Below are 20,210 nucleotides of genomic sequence, written 5' to 3'. Positions count from 1 at the left end.
TGTAGTTTGCTGACCCCTGTCTTGGTGTGCGGGGATATGGAGCGTGATGTATTTATTTTAATCTGTGCCTTCTTAGGATTAGACTCGGTCCTGGCACTAAGTTGCCATTCATAAACGCTGATTGAATGAATTACTGTATACTCTTTCAGGTGTGCTGGATGACTTGGGGACACTGCTGCTTTTTGAGGAAAGAGTAAAAATTTTTCTGAGCAAGGGATGAGAATCCAATCTTTGTGGCAATGGCTGAGGAGAGGGCGGGAGCCTCCCTCTTGTGGGTCTTCATGGATGTTTGTAAGAGTAAAGAGAATTTTCATTTTTATGTAAAGTGTAGAGATCTATTTTTCACAAACAGACCTACAGAACGTGATTTGTAATAGGAAACAGATTTCCCTCCCCTTAAGATAAATGGAATGTCCCCACCTCCCAAACTGAGAAGAGAATTGTTTCCTCCTTGCAAAGGAAACAAATTGGATTCTCAAAGGAATAATCAGAAGTTTTAAAAATTGTCATAATAAGCAAGATATGGTTTCATGGATGATGAAAGGATGTTTGTCTTCGTTGGGAGTGGACATGAAGTTTTGGTTGGAGAGGCAGTTGGGCCCTTCTCCCTCCCTAATTCCTGCCCCTTGGCATTTTATCAGTGCCACATGGGAGAAGTGGCTTCTGCCTGAATGGGGTTGGTGGTCCCACTCTGGTCCCACTGTCAGACTGCATTCTCTTCCTTTCCAAATCTTCATCACTCTACTGAAGTAGGTCCCCATTCCTCAGCCAAGCTTCCTGACAGCTGCAGTTCATTTTGATCCATGGGAGAGGGTATTACAGATGGGAGAGTTGCCTGAGCAAAGTCATGGGGCTTGGAATGAGCCTGGTGAGTGCAGAGGATCTGCCTGGCTGTTTGGGGACACATTTCTAGGCAGCTGGGGCATTAGTTTGAGGCCTCTCATGTCAGTAAAGGTGGAGAACCATAGAGAGTGGAGGAGCCCAGTGCTAAGCACCTGGCCAAAGACAGCATCAGCTGTGTCTTGGGCCAAGGCCGGTTGCGTGGAGTCAACAAGAGTTGGTATATAAGTCAGAGTGGTTAAGGAGAGGGAGGACCTGCAGTCATTGGATCCAAAGGGTTTACCTCCCTAGTTCTTCCCTGGGTCCTGGAGACATGAAGGTGAACCCCCACAGCCCTTGCCCTTATTGCTTACAGGCTAATAAAGGAGACAAGCTGGGCACCTTCAAGTCCCTGAGAGTTTAGAGCAAAGAGCAGGGAGCTCAGACCATCCAGGCCTGTCCTCCAGAATCATTACTCCGTGGATAATACTTTGAAGATGTGTGAATTGGGGCAAGTTATTTAACCTCTCTGGACCTCACTTTCCCATAAATACTATTTTTGGCTTTCATAATAACATACGATGATGGTGATAATAAGAGTGTCCCCCTTATAGGATTCCTGTAATATTTCAGGGGAGATGAACAGTGCCTGATATGACATGATAAATCAATACGTGGGAAAACCATTATTAATTGTTATTTTTATAGTTTTCCAGCAGTACAACTTTTTAAAAAATTTATAAAATGCTTTGTCTTGCATTGGCTCACTTGAGCATCTCAAAAACCCTCTGAGGTTCTGCAAGTGCTGCTAACCCATTTTGCAGATAAGGGTGGTTTGCCCAAAACACACGAGTAGTAATGAAACTGGGACTGGAGGCCTGATGCTACAGCTGCTGTCCAGTGTTCCTCAACTCCGTGCCCTGTTGCCTTCTCTCATGGATATGGGGGCTGTGTCTGCTCTGTGGGTGATGCCCAGATGTGTAAGAAAGGTTCTCTGCTTTCAAGGAGTTTATATCTCATTCAAATTGGAAGAGCCTTGATCTGGAAATTGGAGAGTTCCGCCTGCAAGTGAGGGCCACTTCTGCTGTCTCCAGCAAGGAAAGACAGGCAGGAAAATGACTGGGAGTCTTATGTGGTGCCATCAGATGACATTCAGAATTTCCTTGGGTCGAACCTGCAGAGACCTGTCTCTGATTTCCTGCGTGTCACTCGGCAAATTCCCTCCATGTGTGAAATGAGCAATGAAGCTAACTCTCTGGTGCATGGTGTTAGCACCAAGTTGCATCACATTCCCCCCTCCGCCACTCCTCCTTCGCAACAGACCTTAACGTTATTCTGTGATTACTTCGCATCATCCTTCCCAAATGTGCATCAAATTAAAGAGTTATTAGGGCATGGCAGGACATGTTTATGGGGAAGAATTTCCTTTAAAGTCACAGCTCAGCCTGAACTCACTTTATTAGTGTTTATACAAAGTATGTAGCCTGTTCCAATGCAGTCCATGTTTATATTCCTGCAGCAATCATTGCATTCCTTGGGCTGTTCCTTCGTTTTCTTAAAGTGATTACTGCACCTATGTTAAAAGTTAATAGTGTATGTGCTCTGTGACTGGTTGGACTTGGGAGGTGGGCACCATTCAGAAAATGACACTTAACCAAGATGTGTCCTGCAAATAGCCATAGACTTAGAAGTGGTCTTCAGCCCAAGTGGACAGGAAGAAGGTCTCCTTAAGAACAAAGACATGGTGGGCAACCAGGCCCCATATGAGTATTTCCATTGTCACCCACTCCTGTTGCCGATATTTTGTGGCTCAAGCTGGGAATGACCATTTGTGTTGATCTGATCTTTGCCTGTTTCTGTGGTATAATTATTAATGACTTCCCCTTTAACTCACAAAAGTATTCAAGTTTGGATAATCATATGGTCATTCCAATTCTAACTGATACCCAGATTTACTGGTATAAGTGAAGTACATCAACTTTAGATCTCAAGCCATTGTCAATTAAGGGCAAATGTAACTCAGTTAAAACTGTCAATAAAGAGCTCAAGTTAACATCAGTCATTCAACAGATATTGATTTGTGCCTTTCATGTGCCAGGTATTGTGCTGAGCCTTAGGGATTCAAACATAAATCAGATATGGCCCTGGAGCCCAGTAAGTTGGAGCTTATTAGTTTAGCTAAACTTTTTGAGTATGTTACTAAAATTCTCTGACCAGGTCATTTCAATTTCTCTTTCACCCTTTAGGACTCTATATTTACTTGCTGCAAGTTGATTGCTAAATTTTCAGCCACTAATCCTTGTTCATTTGGTACTTCTCAGCTTGTGACCATAGACAGGTGTCTTAATCTCCCTGTGCCTCTATTTGTTCAATCATAAAATGGGACTAATAAGTAGCATCAACCTCATAGGCTGGTTGTGAGGATTAAAAAAGGCCCCAAATGTGAAGTGTTTAGCATAGTCCTTGGCACATGGTAAACACTCATTGTAGATTGGCTCCTGCATAGTAAATAGCAGAAAGTTATTTGGACCTTAATGTTGGTTGGGTGCAGCATTTGTACCTCTATTGACCGGAGTTAAGTGGCCTTCTTAAAAACATTGCTTAAGGTAATATGTGTTAGGATCCAAAGCCAGTGAGAATTATTGTGACCCTAGGGGATCAGTTTATTTTCCTCCTTTTAAAGATGAGGAAGGAAAATTTTACAAAGTCATGCTCTGGATTATCATGGATGAAGATCATGGATGCTTAACTTGGGCCATTCTTTCCTACTATGCCGTATTGCTAGGTGTATCAGTTAGCATAGACAAGGCTAAGCTGCAGCAACAAATAAGCCCAGATATATCAGTAACAAAACAATATAAAGCTGTATTTCTTCCTCTTCCTCCCACCCACCCAGTCCAGTAGAGCTGGTCTGGGTGGTGGTAGGTGGCTTATGATCCATATTGTCACTTAGGAACCCAGGCTGCTTTCCTCTGGGGGACCCCTCCATTTATGACACATGATCTCTACATGCCATGAAGACAAGAAAGGGAAGGAGAGTGTCATGCTTGCAGGATGTTTTATAGCCTTGCCTGGAAATGGCACGTATTATTTCCACCCACATTCCTTTTCTTCAGAAATCAGCCACATGGTCCCACTTAGATTCAAAGGGCACAGGAAATTTAATCTTGTTGTTTGCCTAGGAGGAAAATGGAACAGTTTGGTGAACACAGAGCACTATCCTTGCCATACCGTATTCCCTACATTTCTTGCCACATTTCCAAAGGTTGGCCCCAGTCTCTTCTAGGATTTGTTTCCTGCCTCCCGGTGATTGGAGGAGCCATTTTATCATGTGCTCTCCTATGCAGTGCAGGGAAGTGTTTTGAGAACAGGCCTTGCAAGGAGTTTGGAAGGGTTTGAGATTTCTGGGCATGATAAGGGAAATAAAAGGTGAAACTTTTGGACTGATAGTCGCCACCTGGAGGTTAGTGCTGAGAAAAGAATACGTTGCCTTAAGTCATTACAGGAAGAATTTAGGAAGAATTTTTTATTTCTGAGTGTGTTGGCTGGGTTGTCCTCTGTGTGACAGGAAGGAAGCACTGTCTCTGCAGATGCTTTGATGTGCCTGAAGTGGATGAAGGAGATTTGGGGTGGAGCTGTGGATTTGACCAGGTGCACCTTTGTGTTAGAAGCACGGAGGTCCTGCCAACATCATCATCTTACTTGTGCTCACATTTTGCCTGAATAATAATCAGCCAATTGATGGTTACTTCTTGAGTACTTACTGCATGACCAGCCCTGGGCTAGAATCACTTTATACGTATCATCTCATTTAATTCTTGCAGTATCCTAGGAGGTAGGTACTGTGATTATGGCCATTTAAGATGGAGAAACAGAAGCTTAGGGATGAGTTAAATAACCTGCCTAAAATCATGCTCTATTTGCTAAGATTTGAGCCCAGGCTATCTGATTCTAGGGCCTGCCACCTTAAGCGCTATGTTTGGCAGCAGGGATCTCAAACTCTGATGCGAAAAAAGATTAAGCAGGTAACTTGAGTGAGGGAATTGGATCAGGTGGACTGGTGAATTGCAGGCATGTACCTTATGCAAAGTGGGCAATTGCCTCTTAGTACCAGCTTATGATGGCCACTAAAATCCATTGTTATTTGATGGACTGACCTTTGGAGACAAGCCAGAATTGTAGATTTGTATTTGAAATGCTCCCAAATTGGCAATTAATTTGCATATGTGAAAATCACAGTGAGAACCAGACTACGCAGGTCTGCAGGCCAGAACTCACCGGTGGGCTACCAGTTTGCAAGTTCGTCTCTGCTGTTCCCAGTAAAGAGCTAGTTGTACGTTTTGTTTGTTTGTTTGTTTGTTTGTTTTTGAGCATGGAGCTGAACTGAGCAAAACAGGGGCAGGGAGTCCTCCTGGTGCAAGGGATGAAGGAAAAGAGACCCCATGCCCAATACTCCTCTTTACATGCCCTCACCATGACCACATCCAACCACCCGGGTTGCCCCTCTGTTTGGCCCATTCTTCTCCCTGCAGGTAGCTGTCTGCACAGGGCTGGCTGCAAGCTTTTGCAGGTGTAAAATTATATATGCGAGAGTGTTGCCAAGCCAAAAATTTAGCCCAGAGAGGCTTAGTTCCCAAACAACTGAGGTAGTGTGAAGCCAGTTTTTAAAATCAAATTCAGCTCATTTCTTTCCCAAATGCGTGTATGTTTTTAAACTTGCATGTGGTTATGTAACAGATGAGAACGAAGTGCAAAAATCAGAATAGTTAATAATGCCTCCTGTGGTGTGAGTCTGGAGAGGTAAAGCATGAGATGGGAGCCCTATAAGGGTGGCCCAAAGGGAAACACTGCTCTCCTTGACCTGGTAGGAAGGTGATTTGATGGTTTTCAAACACATGCTGTTTCTCTCTTTCATCAGGGTAGCTGGGTGGGTGGCATTAGGTCCTTTGGACTGGGGAGAGGAGACAGAGGAAGACACCCATTAGGACCGCCTGATGTGAGCAGTTTCAGAGGTCTGCCCTTGGGCTCATCAAAAAGCATCTTCCGGCCAGGCACGGTGGCTCACGCCTGTAATTCCAGCACTTTGAGAGGCTGAGGTGGGTTTGAGGTCAGGAGTTTGAGACCAGCCTGGCCAACATGGTGAAACCCTATCTCTACTAAAATTAGCCAGGCATGGTGGTACATGCATGTAATCCCAGCTACTCGGGAGGCTGAGGCAGGAGAATCCCTTGAACCCAGGAGGTGGAGGTTGCAGTGAGCCGAGATTGCACCACTACACTCCAGACTGGGAGACAGAGCGAGACTCTGTCTCAAAAAACAACCCCCAAAACCAAAAAGCATCTTCCTTTGGCTAAATGGCTAAAATTCCAGAGTCTTGAATGGCTTAAACTCTGCATGGTCACTTTATCTATGGGGAGAGTCTTAGGTTAACTGGACTCCTTTTTTCAGTGGTTTTTTTTGGAAGGTAGGAGGTATATTGAATAATACATGTTTACTCCAGAAAACATTGATAATACTGATAAGCAAAATGTAAAATGTTTAAAAAAAAAAAACCCCGTTTCTCCACCCCGAGAAACCTAGTGTACATTTTTCTGAGTGTCTCCATGAGGCCTTCATCCAAGGTGTCTGGAGGAAGTTGGGGAGTATCCTCTTCAAGGTCCTTTGGGAGACAAGGCAGACACACAGGAAACAGGCAGCAGCAAGGCAACGTGATGAAAGACCAAAATGAGTTGTGCAGAGAGAGGGTAAATGATCCAGAAGTTCAGAAGTTCAGGGAAGGGAGAAGCCAGCACGAGATGGAGCAGCTGGGGGAGGCTGCAGGGGGAGTGTGGGGTGTCTGTGCTATGGCAGCCCTAGCACACAGATACGCCCAGAGAAAGCCTGAACGTTGGGCGTATCTGTATGCTAGGGCTGCTGTAACAATGTACCACAAACTGGGTGCCTTACAACAGCAATCATCCTTTCAGACTTCTGGAGCCTCGCAATCTGAAATTGAGGTGTCATCAGGGCCAGGCTCCTTCTGAAATCTGCAGGGGAGGGCCCTTCCTTGCTCCTTCCTGGCTCCTGGGCTTGCCAGCAGCCCTTGGCATTCCTTGGTTTGTAACTGCATCACTCCAGTCTCTGCCTCTGTTGTCACACGGCACTATACCTGCATGTCTGTCTCGTCGTCTTTTTATTATTTTTCAGAGACAGGGTCTTGCTCTGTCACTCTGGCTGGAGCAGTGCAATCATAGCTCACTGCAGCCTCTGCCCCCCTGGGCTTAAACAATCCTGCCACCTCAGCCTCCTGAGTATCTGGGACTATAGGCAAGTACCACCATGCCTGGCTGGTTTTCTCTTTTGTAGAAATAGGGTCTTGCTATGTTGCCCAGGCTGGTCTCAAACTCCCTTCTGGCCTCAAGTAATCCTTCTGCATCAGCCTCCCAAAGTGCTGGGATTATAGGTGTGAGCCACTTTGCTCAGCCCTGTCTCCTCTTCTAATAAGGACACCAGTCCTATTGGATTAGGGTCCACCCTAATGACCTCAATTTAACCTGATTACATCTGCAAAGACCCTACTTTCAAATACGATCACACTCATAGGTAGCTGGGGTTAGGACTTCAATATATCTTTTGAGGCACACAATTCAGCCCATAACAGAGCAGTAGGATTTAAATGGACGCAGGACTTTGAGGGCTTCTGAGGCCAGCATACAGACAGCAGGAACATATGTGCCAATGAAGTGCCTAGCACAGTTCCTGGATCTGATAGGTGCTCAATACATGTCTGTGGCTATAAAGAAGAAAGAATTAAATGAGGCAAGCTGAGGGCAGTAATGAGAACCCCCTTCTTATTGAGCTGTGGAATGAAATTGACATTTGGGGGAAATTAATCTGGCAGGATTGATGGCAGGGGAATGAGGCTGAGGGCTCTTAAATTGGTGGTTTCCTTGCTCGGCCCCTTTTATGGTTCCAGTCCCCAAGCATGTTGTCAGCCCCATAGATGCCTCACAGCCTGGACACCACCTGCCTCTGTGATCCCATTTGGTGTCACTCTGCTGCCGTCACCTGGACCTTTTTGTTTCCATTCTTCCACCTGGAAACGTCTCCCTTCAGCCTGTCCTTCAACTGGATCCTTCTTTTCCTTCTAGTCTCAGACCAAATCTCACTCTCTAAGAGAGGTTCTTCCTGGACACCCTAGGGAGGGCAGTGCCTTCACTGCCTCTCACCATATCTTTATTCTCTTCACCTCACCCTGTACTGTTTCCTAGCTATGCCCATATTGCAGTCTGTAGTCTCCTTGTTTATTTGTGGTGGCCTATCTCCCCCTGTGTTTTTTATTGTCATATAATGATAGCAAACTTCGTGGCTTAAAACAACAGGCATTCAGCACCTTCCATTTGTCTCGGCCCTCTGCTTCAGGGTTTCATAAGGCTGCACACAAGGGTTTGGTTGAGGTTGTGATCTCATCTCAAGGCTCAACTGGAGAAGGACCTGCTTCCAAGCTCTCAAGGTTATTGGGATAATTCAGTTCCTTGCAGTCTATTAGAAGGCTTCAGGTTCCTGCTGGTTGTCTTGAATTCTTGGTTGGTTGTGGGTAGAGGCTGCCTCCAGTTCCTTGGCATGTGGGCCTCCCAAACATGGCCACCTGCTTCATCACAGCCAGCAAGAGAAAGAGTCCTATAGCAAGACGGGCATTGCCGTCCCATGTAACATGTCACAAAGGTGACATCCGACCACCTTTTTTGTGTTGCATGGGTTAGAAGCAGGTCTCTAGGTTCTGCCCACTCAAGGAGAGGGGAAGGTGTTGATACTGGGGACCACCTTAGAATCTGTCTGCGGCATTCAGCAAAGAAATAAAAGTTCCTTAAAAGGAACTTCTTTGCTATTGTTTTACTGTCTATCCTTAGCCATCAGCATAGTGCCAGGTCTGGAGTAGGTGTTTAATAAAAGTTTGTTGTAGGAAGAAAAGAAGCAAGGAAAGGAGGGAGGGATTTTAAAAAAAGGAAAGGAGATGGGGAGGGAAGGAAGGAAGGAATTAAGGAAAGGAGAGAGAGGGAGGAAAGGAAAGAAGAAAATAAGGAAAGAAAAGAAGAAAGAAGGAAGGGAAGAAAGATCTGTGTTTCTCTTGAAACATGCTTTAACAGCCAAATAAATCTGCTGGCAGTTATCCTGAGGCAATGCCTCTGGGCTTTTATACATGCTGGGGTTTTTTTTTGTTTTTTGTTTTTAAACCTAAAATTCTTTTTCTCTCTCTTGAATATTCCTATGCCAACCTGAATATAGCCAACTCTTTCTTGAGGTCTCAATTAAAATGTCACCTGTTCCTGGATGCCTCCCCCGACCCTACACCCCAATTACTCCATACTCCTTCCTCCATACTCTTCTGTAAGCTTTTGTTTATGCCTCTGGCATAGTAGAGAGCAGGAGTCTATAAACGACAGCCCCTGGGCCAAATCCAGCCTTCAGTCTGTCTTCGTAAATAAAGTTTTATTGGCACACAGCCATACTCATTTATTTATATATTGTCTAAGGCTACTCTCACACTACAAAGCTGAGTTGAATAGTTGTGATAGAAAACATGACTGGCAGAACCCAAATTATTTACTATCTGGCCTTTAAAGAAAAAGGTTGCCAACCTATGGTATACAGCGTTTATCATAGTCTATGGTAATTACTCCTTTATTTCTTCCTCTCTAAACTCTGAGTTTCTTATGGGCAGAGACCACGCCACTATTGTTTATAGCTATATACCAGCATTTAGCACAATTCCTGAAACTTAATGATGAAGACTTGTTGAATGAATGAATGAATGGTGTATCAGTAAGAAATAGAAAACAGGTAGAAAATTCAAATTAGGAATATTCCAGGAGAGTTGATTTATTTACACAGGGATCATTTCAGAGGTGTGGGTATGTTTCAGAGAGATACTGTAGAACCCAAGACCATAGAAGCAATGGAGCAATTATCACCTCTAAGCCAGAAGAAATAGGAAGAAAAGTGTCCTGGAACCAAGAAATGGACAGTCATAAAGACGAACTGTAACCTTTGTTGGCAAAACTAGCTAACGTGGGTGAGCTCTCAGGGAGGACGAATACCCCGTCCTCGGTCTGATCCTTCCTGCATCCCCTGCTTAGCTCATAGGGAAGAGAAAAAGCACAGAACCTTGCCCTTTCTGTGATGTGGCCCATTCAGGTGGAAAGCGTAGTGAGTGCATAACTGAAACTGAGGCCACTGCTTCCTTGCCAACTTGTTCTGATTTGGTTGGAACCTCTTTGCTGGTGGTAAATGAAGGGTCAGGAAGTGCTATGGGGGCCTCTTAATTCTGGCTCCTCTTACCCCTTTCCTGAGTAGGAGTCCTCAAATCACACTATGGGATTTTTTTTTTTAAAGTTGTTTATTTTTTTTAAGACTACTCAAGTGCAGTTGTGAGAAGGAGGGGAAAGAGTAGAACAACTACTTCAATCTGTAACTGAGTGAACAATCCATTGAGATAGCTATGCTGTGGGAACTTGAATGTGGAGGCGTCACACATTGAAAGGTTTATTCAGGAGCAGGAGGTCTTCTCTCTGACTTCCTGCTTGTCTACTCCCCTTGGTGTTTAGACCACATCCCTTAACGTTTCATTTTGCAAATTCTTGCCTTGTTCTCTAAGAATCTCCTGAGTCTTAGCTCATCCTCAGCTAGACTCCAGGCTCCTTGAAAACAAGGACCAAGCTATATTTCATTTTCTAAAAATTCATTTGGCTCTGGGCTCCCAAAAGATGACAATTACAGAGTTATTGACAGGACTCCATAGGTCATGTAGTTCAGCCTCCTACCCATCACAAGGATCTCCTAGACATCATGCCCAACATGAGTTAATTTTGCCTGCATAGCCTTGTAATAAGGAATAACTGCATTGTATGGTAGCCCCTACAGGTTTACTTCATGTTGAGACCTGATCTTCTTTCCTGAAACCCAGAAGGCAGTATTCTGTAAATACTCAGTGTACAGGGGACAGGTAGTCTTAAAAGTCTGGTCTGAGCAATGGTGTGCTCCCTAACTATCACAGATCTCACTATCACAGATGAACATCTTTTTAAAAGTCTATCCCAAGCTACACCATTGCATCCTCTCCCTACCTGTTGTAGCCCGTGGGTGAAAAATTAACCACTCTGAATGCTGTTTAGAAAGTACTTCCTTGGCCAGGTGCCATGGCTCACGCCTGTAATCCCAGCACTTTGGGAGGCTGAGGCGGTTGGATCACCTGAGGTCAGGAGTTCGAGACCAGCCTGGCCAACCTGGTGAAACCCCGTCTCTACTAAAAATACAAAAATTAGCCAGATGTGGTGATGGCACCTGTAATCCCAGCTACTCGGGAGGATCACTTGAACCTGGGAGGTGGAGGTTGCAGTGAGGTGAGATTGAGCCACTGCCCTTCAGCCTGAGCAAGAGAGCAAGACTCTGTCTCCAAAAAAAAAGTACTTTCTCAATTGAGCCTCATGGTGATCTGACAGACGTGGTATTTTGGGTCATGTTTTACAAAAGTCACAGCAACAACAATGGGAGTTCCATAAAGTTAAGTGCCTTTCTCAAAGCCACATAGCTAAGGAGTGAAAAGGTTGAGATTCAAATCCACACCATTTGAATTTATAATTGAAGCCCTTTTCCCCACACTATGCTTTCACTGAGGGCTGTTTTTTCACTCCTTGCTCTTCCCAGATGTGCCACAGCTGGAAGAAAATTTTGCAGGAATGCCACAGAATGAATAAAAAGAAGGGTATGGATATACATGTGCCAAGATAAGGCCAGTGGCCTGACCTAGAAAATGTCATTTTTGTTTCATTTTTTCCAGTGTTGTTCTGAATTCTTCTTTCTCCCTACCCCACCCAAGGTGTCAAACAGATGTGAAAATACCACAAAGCTCCAAGTCGCAGCATTGGTTTATGATTCACTGATTGGGATGGGGAAAAACAATCCAAATTACCATGGTGATGCCTGTTTATAGAGGCAACATGGCAGATGCTGAGCAACATGACCAAAACCAGACAGGGGTAAACACAGCAAGAAAGCTCTTCCTCCTTGAGCTTGCAGAGGGGCTCAGCCACTTCCCTTGGCCAGGACTTCACTGGGAGACAGGGTAGGAAATGTGCTCTGTTAGCTGGAGTGGGGGAAGCAAAGTTACTAAGGGTATGTCTTTGTTTTTCTCCAAGGCACGGGAGTGGGAAATTCTATTATGTTTGTTTGTGCATTTATTTATGCATTCTTTTAAAAAATTCAGTGGATAACCTGATGCAGTATAAAAAAAATGCTCTAATGGTAAATGAGCAGTAGGATGTGATAAGTGAAACTATGGCCTTTGCATTCAGAGAGCCCAGGTTCAAATCTCAGCATTACCCACTTCCCTGGTATGTGAACTCATGTCAAATTTCTTTATTGGTAAAAATCTTCTAAGCTTAGGGTGGGGATGGGGGAAACTAAACTTCAGCTTCCTCATGTGAAAAATGAGGTAATAGTACCTACCATATATGGTTGCTGTCTGGATTAGATAAATGAACACAAAGTCCTCAGCACAGTACCTGGTGCGTAGTATGGGTCCAGCAAATATCAGCTTTTATTAAGGCTGATCTACAGCATTTTAATTCGTTGAAGTAAGATTACCTACCTTTCAGAACTGTTGCAAAGAGAAGAAGAAGAAAGCATGGAAGGCTGGGCATGGTGGCTCATGCCTATAATTTTAGCACTTTGGGAGGCCAAGGTGGGCAGATCACCTGAGGTCAGGAGTTTGAGAACAGCCTGGCCAACATGGTGAAACCCCATCTCTACTAAAAATGCAAAAAAATTAGCCAGGCGTGGTGGCAGGCACCTGTAATCCCAGTTACTTGGGAGGCTGAGGCAGGAGAAGGAGAATCGCTTGAACCCAGGAAGCGGAGGTTGCAGTGAGCCAAGATCGTGCCACTGCACTCCAGCCCGGGTGACAGAGGGAGACACCGTCTCAAAAAAAAAAAAAAAAAAAAAAAAAAAAAAAGGAGGCATAGAAAGCTATTGTATCAAAGATATTTTATTTGTCAGCGTAGACTGCCATAACAAATAGTTTCCACATTTCAGTGGTTTAGGAGTTATTTCTTGAATAGGTCTGAGTTTAATGTGTGTAAATGGTTGTGGGGCGGGGTGGGGGCGGGGAGGTTGGGGTGGGGGGCTGTGGGGATCCAAAGGAGGAGAGGCCTCTGTTTCATGCAGTCATTCAGGGACTCGGGTTCTTTCAGTTTCCCATCCCTGGGATCCTCCAGTGTATCTACTGAATCCCACCCAAGATGAGAGAAGACAGTGTAAAGGATGGGGCAGAAAGTTTTATTCCTCAGGCCTGAAGGCAGCATATAGTACTTGTGCTCCTGTAATCGTGATGAGAATTCAGTCACATGGTTGCACATACATGCAAAGAAAGCTAGGAAATGTAATCTATCTGTATGCTCAGGCTGGTGAGTTGTCCACGATTATCATTCATAGAGCATTGTGGCAGACTGGTGAGTTGTCCATGAAACCTTTTTCCCTCTGTCTTGAGCACAACTCAAAACAACTCACCAGTCTGCCACAATGCTCAATGAATGATAATCATTACTGTGATTAGTAACCTAACATCATAGGTGATTCCCATGGTATCCTAAGCCCTACTTGGAGGGAGGGGCATCTCTAATTATGCAGTCTTTTCTCCTTTGAGCTTGAGAGAAGGAACAGTTCTCACCTCGTTCCCACAATAACTCGGGAGCCTTCTGCCCCCATGAGCCATCCTTGACCATAATGACAGGACTGAGGTTCTCAGAGGTGGCACAAAAGTCTCAGAAAGGCCTTGCCACCAAAAGCCATGTGAATGGGGTTCCATTGCTAATGGTAAATATTGTGTATTCAGAAGGTGGCTTTCTCCTCCTTTCTGTTCCACCTCTCTATTGTTATAAAATGAATCACCCCAAAACTTCATGCGTTAAGACACAGTGGTCACTTTGGTACAGTAATGTGTGTTTAACGACAGGGATACATTCTGAGAAATGTGTCCTTGGCAATTTCGTTGTTGCGTGAAAGTCATGAGTGCACTTGCACAAACCTAGATGGTCTAGCCTACTACACACATAGGAGATATGGGTATAGCCTATTGCTTCTAGGCTATAAACCCGCACAGCAGGTTACTCCACTGAATACTATAGGCAGTTGTAAGACAATGCTGAGCAATGGTGAGTATTTGTGTATCTAGATATATCTACTGTTTTGTTGTTGTTCTTTTAAGAGACAGGGTCTTGCTATGTTGCCCAGTCCAGTCTTGAACTCCTGGATTGCTCAAGCAATCCTCCTACCTCAGCCTCCTAAGTGGCTGGGACTATAGGTGTATATCACCATGACTGGCTAAATATCAGACATAGAAAAGAAAGGCACAAAAATAAAGATACGGTATAAAAGATAAAAAAAAAATAGTATACCTAAATAGGTACTTACCATGAATGGAGCTTGCAGGACTGGAAGTTGCTCCAGGAGAGTCAGTGAGTGAGTGGTGGGTGAATATGAAGGCCTAGGACATTACTATTCACTACTGTTGACTTGACAAACACTGTACACTTAGGCTATGCTAAATATTTGTACATTTCTTCAATAGTAAATTAACCTTAGCTTACTATATAACTTTTTTTTGAGGGACAGAGTCTTGCTCTGTCGCCCAGGCTGGAGTGCAGTGGCGCGATCTCGGCTCACTGCAAGCTCTGCCTCCCGGGTTCACACCATTCTCCTGCCTCAGCCTCCTGAGTAGCTGGGACAACAGGCACCCGCCACCACGCTCGGCTAATTTTTTGTATTTTTAGTAGAGACGGGGTTTCACCGTGTTAGCCAGGATGGTCTCGATCTCTTGACCTTGTGATCCGCCCGGCTTGGCCTCCCAAAGTGCTGGGATTACAGGCTTGAGCCACTGCGCCCTGCCAACTTTTTAACTTTATAAACTTTTAATTTTTTTTTATTCCTTCGTAATAACACTTAGCTTAAAACGCAAACTGTATAGGTATACAAAAATATTTTCTTCCCTTGTATGCTTATTTTATAAACTTTTTTTACTTTTTAAACTTTTTTATTAAAAACTAAGACACAAGCACGCACATTAGCCTAGGTCTACACAGGGTCAGGATCATCCATCTCACTGTCTTCTGCCTCCACATCTTGTCCCACTGGTAAGTCTTCAAGGGCAGTAACACACATGGAGCTGTCATCTCTTATGATAACAATGCCTTCCTCTGGAATACCTCCTCAAGGACATGCGTGAAGCTGTTTTACCATTAACTATTTTTTAAAATAAGTAGAAGGAGTATGCTCTAAAATAGTGATAACAGTATGGCATAGTAAATACCAGTAACACAGTCACTTATTATTATCAAGTATTAGGTACTGTACATAACTGCATGTGCTGTACTTGCATACAACTGGCAGTGCAGTAGATTTGTTTTCACCAGCGTCACATAAACATGTGAGTGATATGTTGTGTTATGATGTCACTAGGAATTTTTCAGCTCCGTTATGATCTTATGGGACCACCATCAGATATGCCATCCTCATTGACTGAAACATTGCTATATGTTACATGACTGTATTATCTCTTACAGCTTCTGTGGGTCAGGATTTCAAGAGTGGTTCATTCAGCTGGGCGATTCTGGCTTAGAGTTTCTCATAAGTTATAACCAGATGGTGGCTGAGGCTGAGTCCCAAAGGTATCTGCACCTAATGTGCCTGACCTCTGGGCTGGAAAGACTCAAGCCAGGGCTGGCATCTCTCCCTCATCCTCATCCTCTTCCTCCATGTGGTTTCACCAGCATGGAGGCTTCAGATCATCTGCTTTTCTCATATGGCAGCTCAAGGCTGCAGTACAAGTGAGGGGAGCGAGAGAGCAAGCCCCTCCCCTATTGCCTCTTCTAAGCTAGCCTCAGAAGCTCTGCAGCATCATTTCTGCCACAGTCTTGTTTGTCCAGCAGTCTCAAAGCCTGCTCAAGTTCAAGGGAAATTGGCATAGACACCATCTCTTGATAGCAAGTGTATTTAAAAAAAAAAAAGAAAGAAAGAAATGGCAGACATGTTTGGAGACCACCACACTTCCCACATCCACATCTGGACACTGTCCTTGGCCCCCATCCAGGATCACCCCTCCTGCTGACAGTTCAGAACCCATCCCAGGCTGACATACACTGACTCCCTTGAGGCCAGAGCTGAAGGTCATAAAGGTCTGGAGGAGCCTGGGCCGGGACAGTGGGGGCTGGCCTTGGGACAGGCAGCCTCTCCTCAGGGTCAGTGTAATCCATTCCCATTTCTAACCGCGTGTGTTGAATCCCCAGCTTTGTGTTTCTCATCATCCTATGGCCTGCAAGTAGGAGACAAAGCTCCTACAAAGCATGCAGGCCCAGAGAATGTAAGTAAGTTACTCAAACTCACCCAGACCCAGCTGTGTGGAGTTGGGGGCTAGAGGTATCTCACCTCAAAGCCCACGTGCTCCCTGGCCTTCCTGGCAGTATGTGTGTTTGGGAGGTGGGCAGAGGCAGGCAGCACAGCTCAGTGGGAGGGGAGAGCCCATCCCTCCTCCGTAGCCCCTGTGTCACTTGCACTTAGATACTAAGGAAATAGAGGTCACAGAAATGCTGCGAAGGACAGGCAGTGGGCTGGGGGAGTACCCTTGGCCCCATTATTCTATTTGTCAGCCACAAAATAGATGCCTTTTTTTACCCGTAGGAAGAGAGCACACCAACAAGGAGTGTCTTGGGGACCCCAGGATTCATCCGTGGGCACAAAGTTTGGGGTATGGGGCTGTCAGCTTCTGCTGGTGAACTGAAATTTCAAAGTTGAGATGGGAGAGATGCGCTTCAACTAATTACAGTAATAGCTGCCATGATTGAGTACTTAACAAGTGCCAGATAAGTGCTGTGTGTACATCATCTCATTTAACCCTCATCAAAGCTCCTGAGGTCAAGATTGTCAGCCTCATTTGTAAATGGAGAAACCGCACCTCAGAGATGAAGTGCACTGCCATTAGATCACTCAGTAAGTGGCAGGACAGGGATTCAAGCTCAGGACTGCCTGCCTCTGAAGCTCAGCTCCCAAACACTAACTCTGTGCCGGGGACAGTCCCACAGCACACCTTCTGCCCCCCGCCACATCCTTAGCATTTCAGCAGTGCACTTTGTGTGCTTTGACATAATAAATATTCAAAATATTAGTGCTGCAGATGCTGGCACAAGCTGCTGAGATACCATGCTGTGTCCTGGTAATTAAACCCTTGGTTGCATTGTCATATTCACAGTTGTCAAGGTCCCCAAACATCCATCTGAATTCAGATGGGAGGTAAGAAGAACACGTGTGATGCTTTGGAGTGTGTACAGATTTCTGTCTGCAGGTTTCCCATCCCTGCATGGATAACCCTTCTTTATTTTCCTGGGTAATTCTTGCTATGCTTTTTTTTTTTTCTTCTAAACCAGCACTCAGATTAGCCAGAGAAGTCTAAATACTGCTTTTCTCCATCACAAGCTAGTTCAGAAACAACTTTGATGCTGTTTTAGGTATTGGAAAACTCAAGGAGGAAAGGAGGAGGTACCTGTGTGAGGTTACTCAAGGACTCACTTGATTTTTATTTCAGTATTATGTCTGATACCAGGAGATTAATCCCTCCTCAAACTTGAATTTTTTATATATATATAAAGTGCTGGAATCTGAAAATGCCTTTCCTGTTCATTTTATGCAACTGTATAAAGGAGGCATAATTGCAGGGTGGCATCTTTAGGAAGCAACTAGGAAAACCGAAGAGATGAATGTTTGGATGGGGATTCATCATTGGAAAAATGGCTCTTAGTATATAAATGTTCAGAAAGAAAAGACAATTCACAGATACCTTGTTGAAACTCCAAGGGCCAAAACCCTGAAAAGTGAGGGTTAAAGAGGGCAGAATCTGTAGGGATCAATTATTCAGCATCCATTATTGAGAACTGTAGCATATTATTCATGGTTCCTTTTTTTGGCGTTCAGTCTTGTTAGATTATTTTAGTGAACACGGAATATTCATGCAGTTGTTCACAGGCTTGTTCGTGACTTCAGTTTTTCTTAACTGTTTTTCCATCATCCATGCTGCCCTCCACCCTCACTTCAATATCACCGCCACCACTTCAGCTCTTCTATGGCAAATCCTTCTCTTTGGGGCTATATTCAGGAGCTTAAGCCTATAAATTGAGGCAGGAGTAATCCATGCAAATGTCTTTACCTAACATGTGAAATGAGTTAAGTTACCTCTACTGGGTGCCAAGCACATACTCTATCTACTATGTTGGGTATGGAGTTAAATGAGATGTGGCCTTTGCCCTCAGGGAGTTTGCAAAGTAGCTGGAAAATAGACAATTTTTGTCTTGTTTGTTGGTTTCTAGCTACATACCAAAGTCAGGCAAATTCTTTTGATTTCAAGTGATAGAAAATTCAACTCAAACTGGTTTAAATCAAAATATAGGAGAGATGGGATAGAATGGGTCATACACTCTCAAAATACAGAGGTATCTGGCTTCAGGCATGAGTGAGTCTGGACATTCACAGGAGAGCACCATCTGCTCACTGTTTTTGTGGCGGTGAGATGGCTTCTGGCTACCCTGAACAGCTTAGCAATCCCAGTAGATAAACAGTTATTGGGATTTTGAGTCATTTAGGCATTTCTGAAACATTTGCTGTGGTCAGGAAAACTGAAGATACTTATCAGCCTGGCCTGGATCAGATGCCAGTGCCTAGAGCTGGAAAGAGGGGTCAGCCCCATTTGTATGACATGATCTGAGAGTTGGGGGAGGGGAAACTTCAACAGAAAAATTTGTTACCTAAAGAAGGGACCACAGAAGGCAGGCAGTTACATATAAAAGAGTTCTGCTATGTGCATAATGAATGGTTTATTCCATACAATATCCTTAAGGTTAGCCGGGCACGCTCAAGGGATATCGTTAATCATCAGAATTGCCGCCTTCTGGACAAGCAACATCCCTTCAGTCCAAGCCAGTCTGGATTAAATAGACCGTAATTGTAACCCACAAAAATCTGACCTGAATTTGCTCTCCATTGCAGTGACCTGGACAGAAATAATATCACCAGGATCACCAAGATGGACTTCGCTGGGCTCAAGAACCTCCGAGTCTTGTAAGTAGTTGATGGCTCTCAAGTGTGTTTTCATTTTTAGCTCTTCAGCCTCACAAAAAAATGTTCCACTGCCCCTGACATCACACTCCCAAGCCCTGGACAACAGGAATTCACCATTCTGCAGCAGAAAGCCCCTCGTTAGCGTACCCACATGCTTACAGGTATCACATTCTGTGTCTAGATGCTGCTGGCTGAGCTAGATCGATGGAAGAACTTAGTTCCAGTGATAGGGAAAGTGGAAGGCTATGAACAAATAAATCACCATGCCCAGCTTCTAGGATGACAGCGATGTCAGGTTGACTAACCATGCTTCCCTTTCATAGAGATGATAATTTCTTCTCCAGCCTGTGCATTAAAAGAGCAATCAGGACAAAAGTTATCTGTCTTGTAGCTTAATGGAGAGGAGGGGAGGAGAGCATCAGAAAGGGTCAGGGCCCTTGCTGAACACCCACAGCTGTGCAGACAGGTAGCAAAATTTGAAATGGGCATTGATGGACTAGAGGAGCAAGGAATATTAGGTTTCATTGCTGAATATTGAACACTTTCATCAATCCTTAAGTCTGTGAGTGATAAGAAACTTCCCAAGTGCTTGTCTGTCAAAAAGTCTAAGACATTCAGAGGTACAGGAAAAAGCAATTTAGATTTTATTTTCCATCTTTACTTGGTAGTTAATTTTGACCCATAAGTGTGGCTCCATGCAAGAAGTACAGACTGGGCCAATTGGCCACTGCCTTGGTATTTGTATGCCATGGAATCTTAGCTGGCAAATTGTTACTAGAAGTGACAGCTAAAGTCTTGGTACCTGAAGCTACCTTCTTTTTACTAATAGCCCTATATAATAAATATAATGAATTTTGTATTTGGTTCAGAAAGTACCAGGCTCTGGTCCTGATTCGGAATTAGCTACCCATGAAACCTTGGGCAAATTATTTTTCCTCCTTGGGCCTCAGTTTTCTCATCTGCAGTATAGGGAATACGTTGTTAGAAGTATTTTCAACTCTCATAGTTACACGTGTAGTGCTTCATTGTTTTAACATTTTCTGATTATTTTTGTGATTACTTGTGAAGCGTTAATTTTACAACATTGTTTGCCATTTCTGATTGAGTTGTTAGTAATAATGATGATGGATATGATACTTTCATGGGCTCAGCACAGTATTACATAGTGGTAACAAAAAGGTGGGGCATTATTATGAGCCCCTATTTGTAGCAGAGGAAACCAGAGGTGCGGATAGGTTAAGTAGACCCAACTCTAC

At 44.2% G+C, this 20,210-nt stretch overlaps 1 protein-coding gene and 1 non-coding gene across 4 annotated transcripts in view; both read left to right on the top strand.

Annotated features, from left to right (window-relative positions):
* The window catches only part of SLIT3 (slit guidance ligand 3), a 639,400-nt gene that overhangs the window by 30,798 nt on the left and 588,392 nt on the right, over window positions 1-20,210 (top strand). For all 3 annotated transcript variants that reach the window (NM_003062.4, NM_001271946.2, XM_017009779.1), the window contains exon 2: window positions 18,883-18,954. In NM_003062.4, the coding sequence (NP_003053.2) occupies window positions 18,883-18,954 (72 nt within the window). The remainder of the gene's footprint in view (window positions 1-18,882; window positions 18,955-20,210) is intronic.
* Window positions 6,648-6,741, top strand: MIR585 (microRNA 585). Its single transcript, NR_030311.1, has one exon. It is a non-coding gene; the product is annotated as a microRNA 585 (primary transcript).

The sequence above is a fragment of the Homo sapiens genome, chromosome 5 (genome assembly GCF_000001405.40).
Source record: "Homo sapiens chromosome 5, GRCh38.p14 Primary Assembly".
In the NCBI taxonomy this organism is placed as follows: Eukaryota; Metazoa; Chordata; class Mammalia; order Primates; family Hominidae; genus Homo; species Homo sapiens.
The sequence above is the reverse complement of the archived record's forward strand: the minus strand, read 5'-3'. Positions and strand labels throughout refer to the sequence as shown.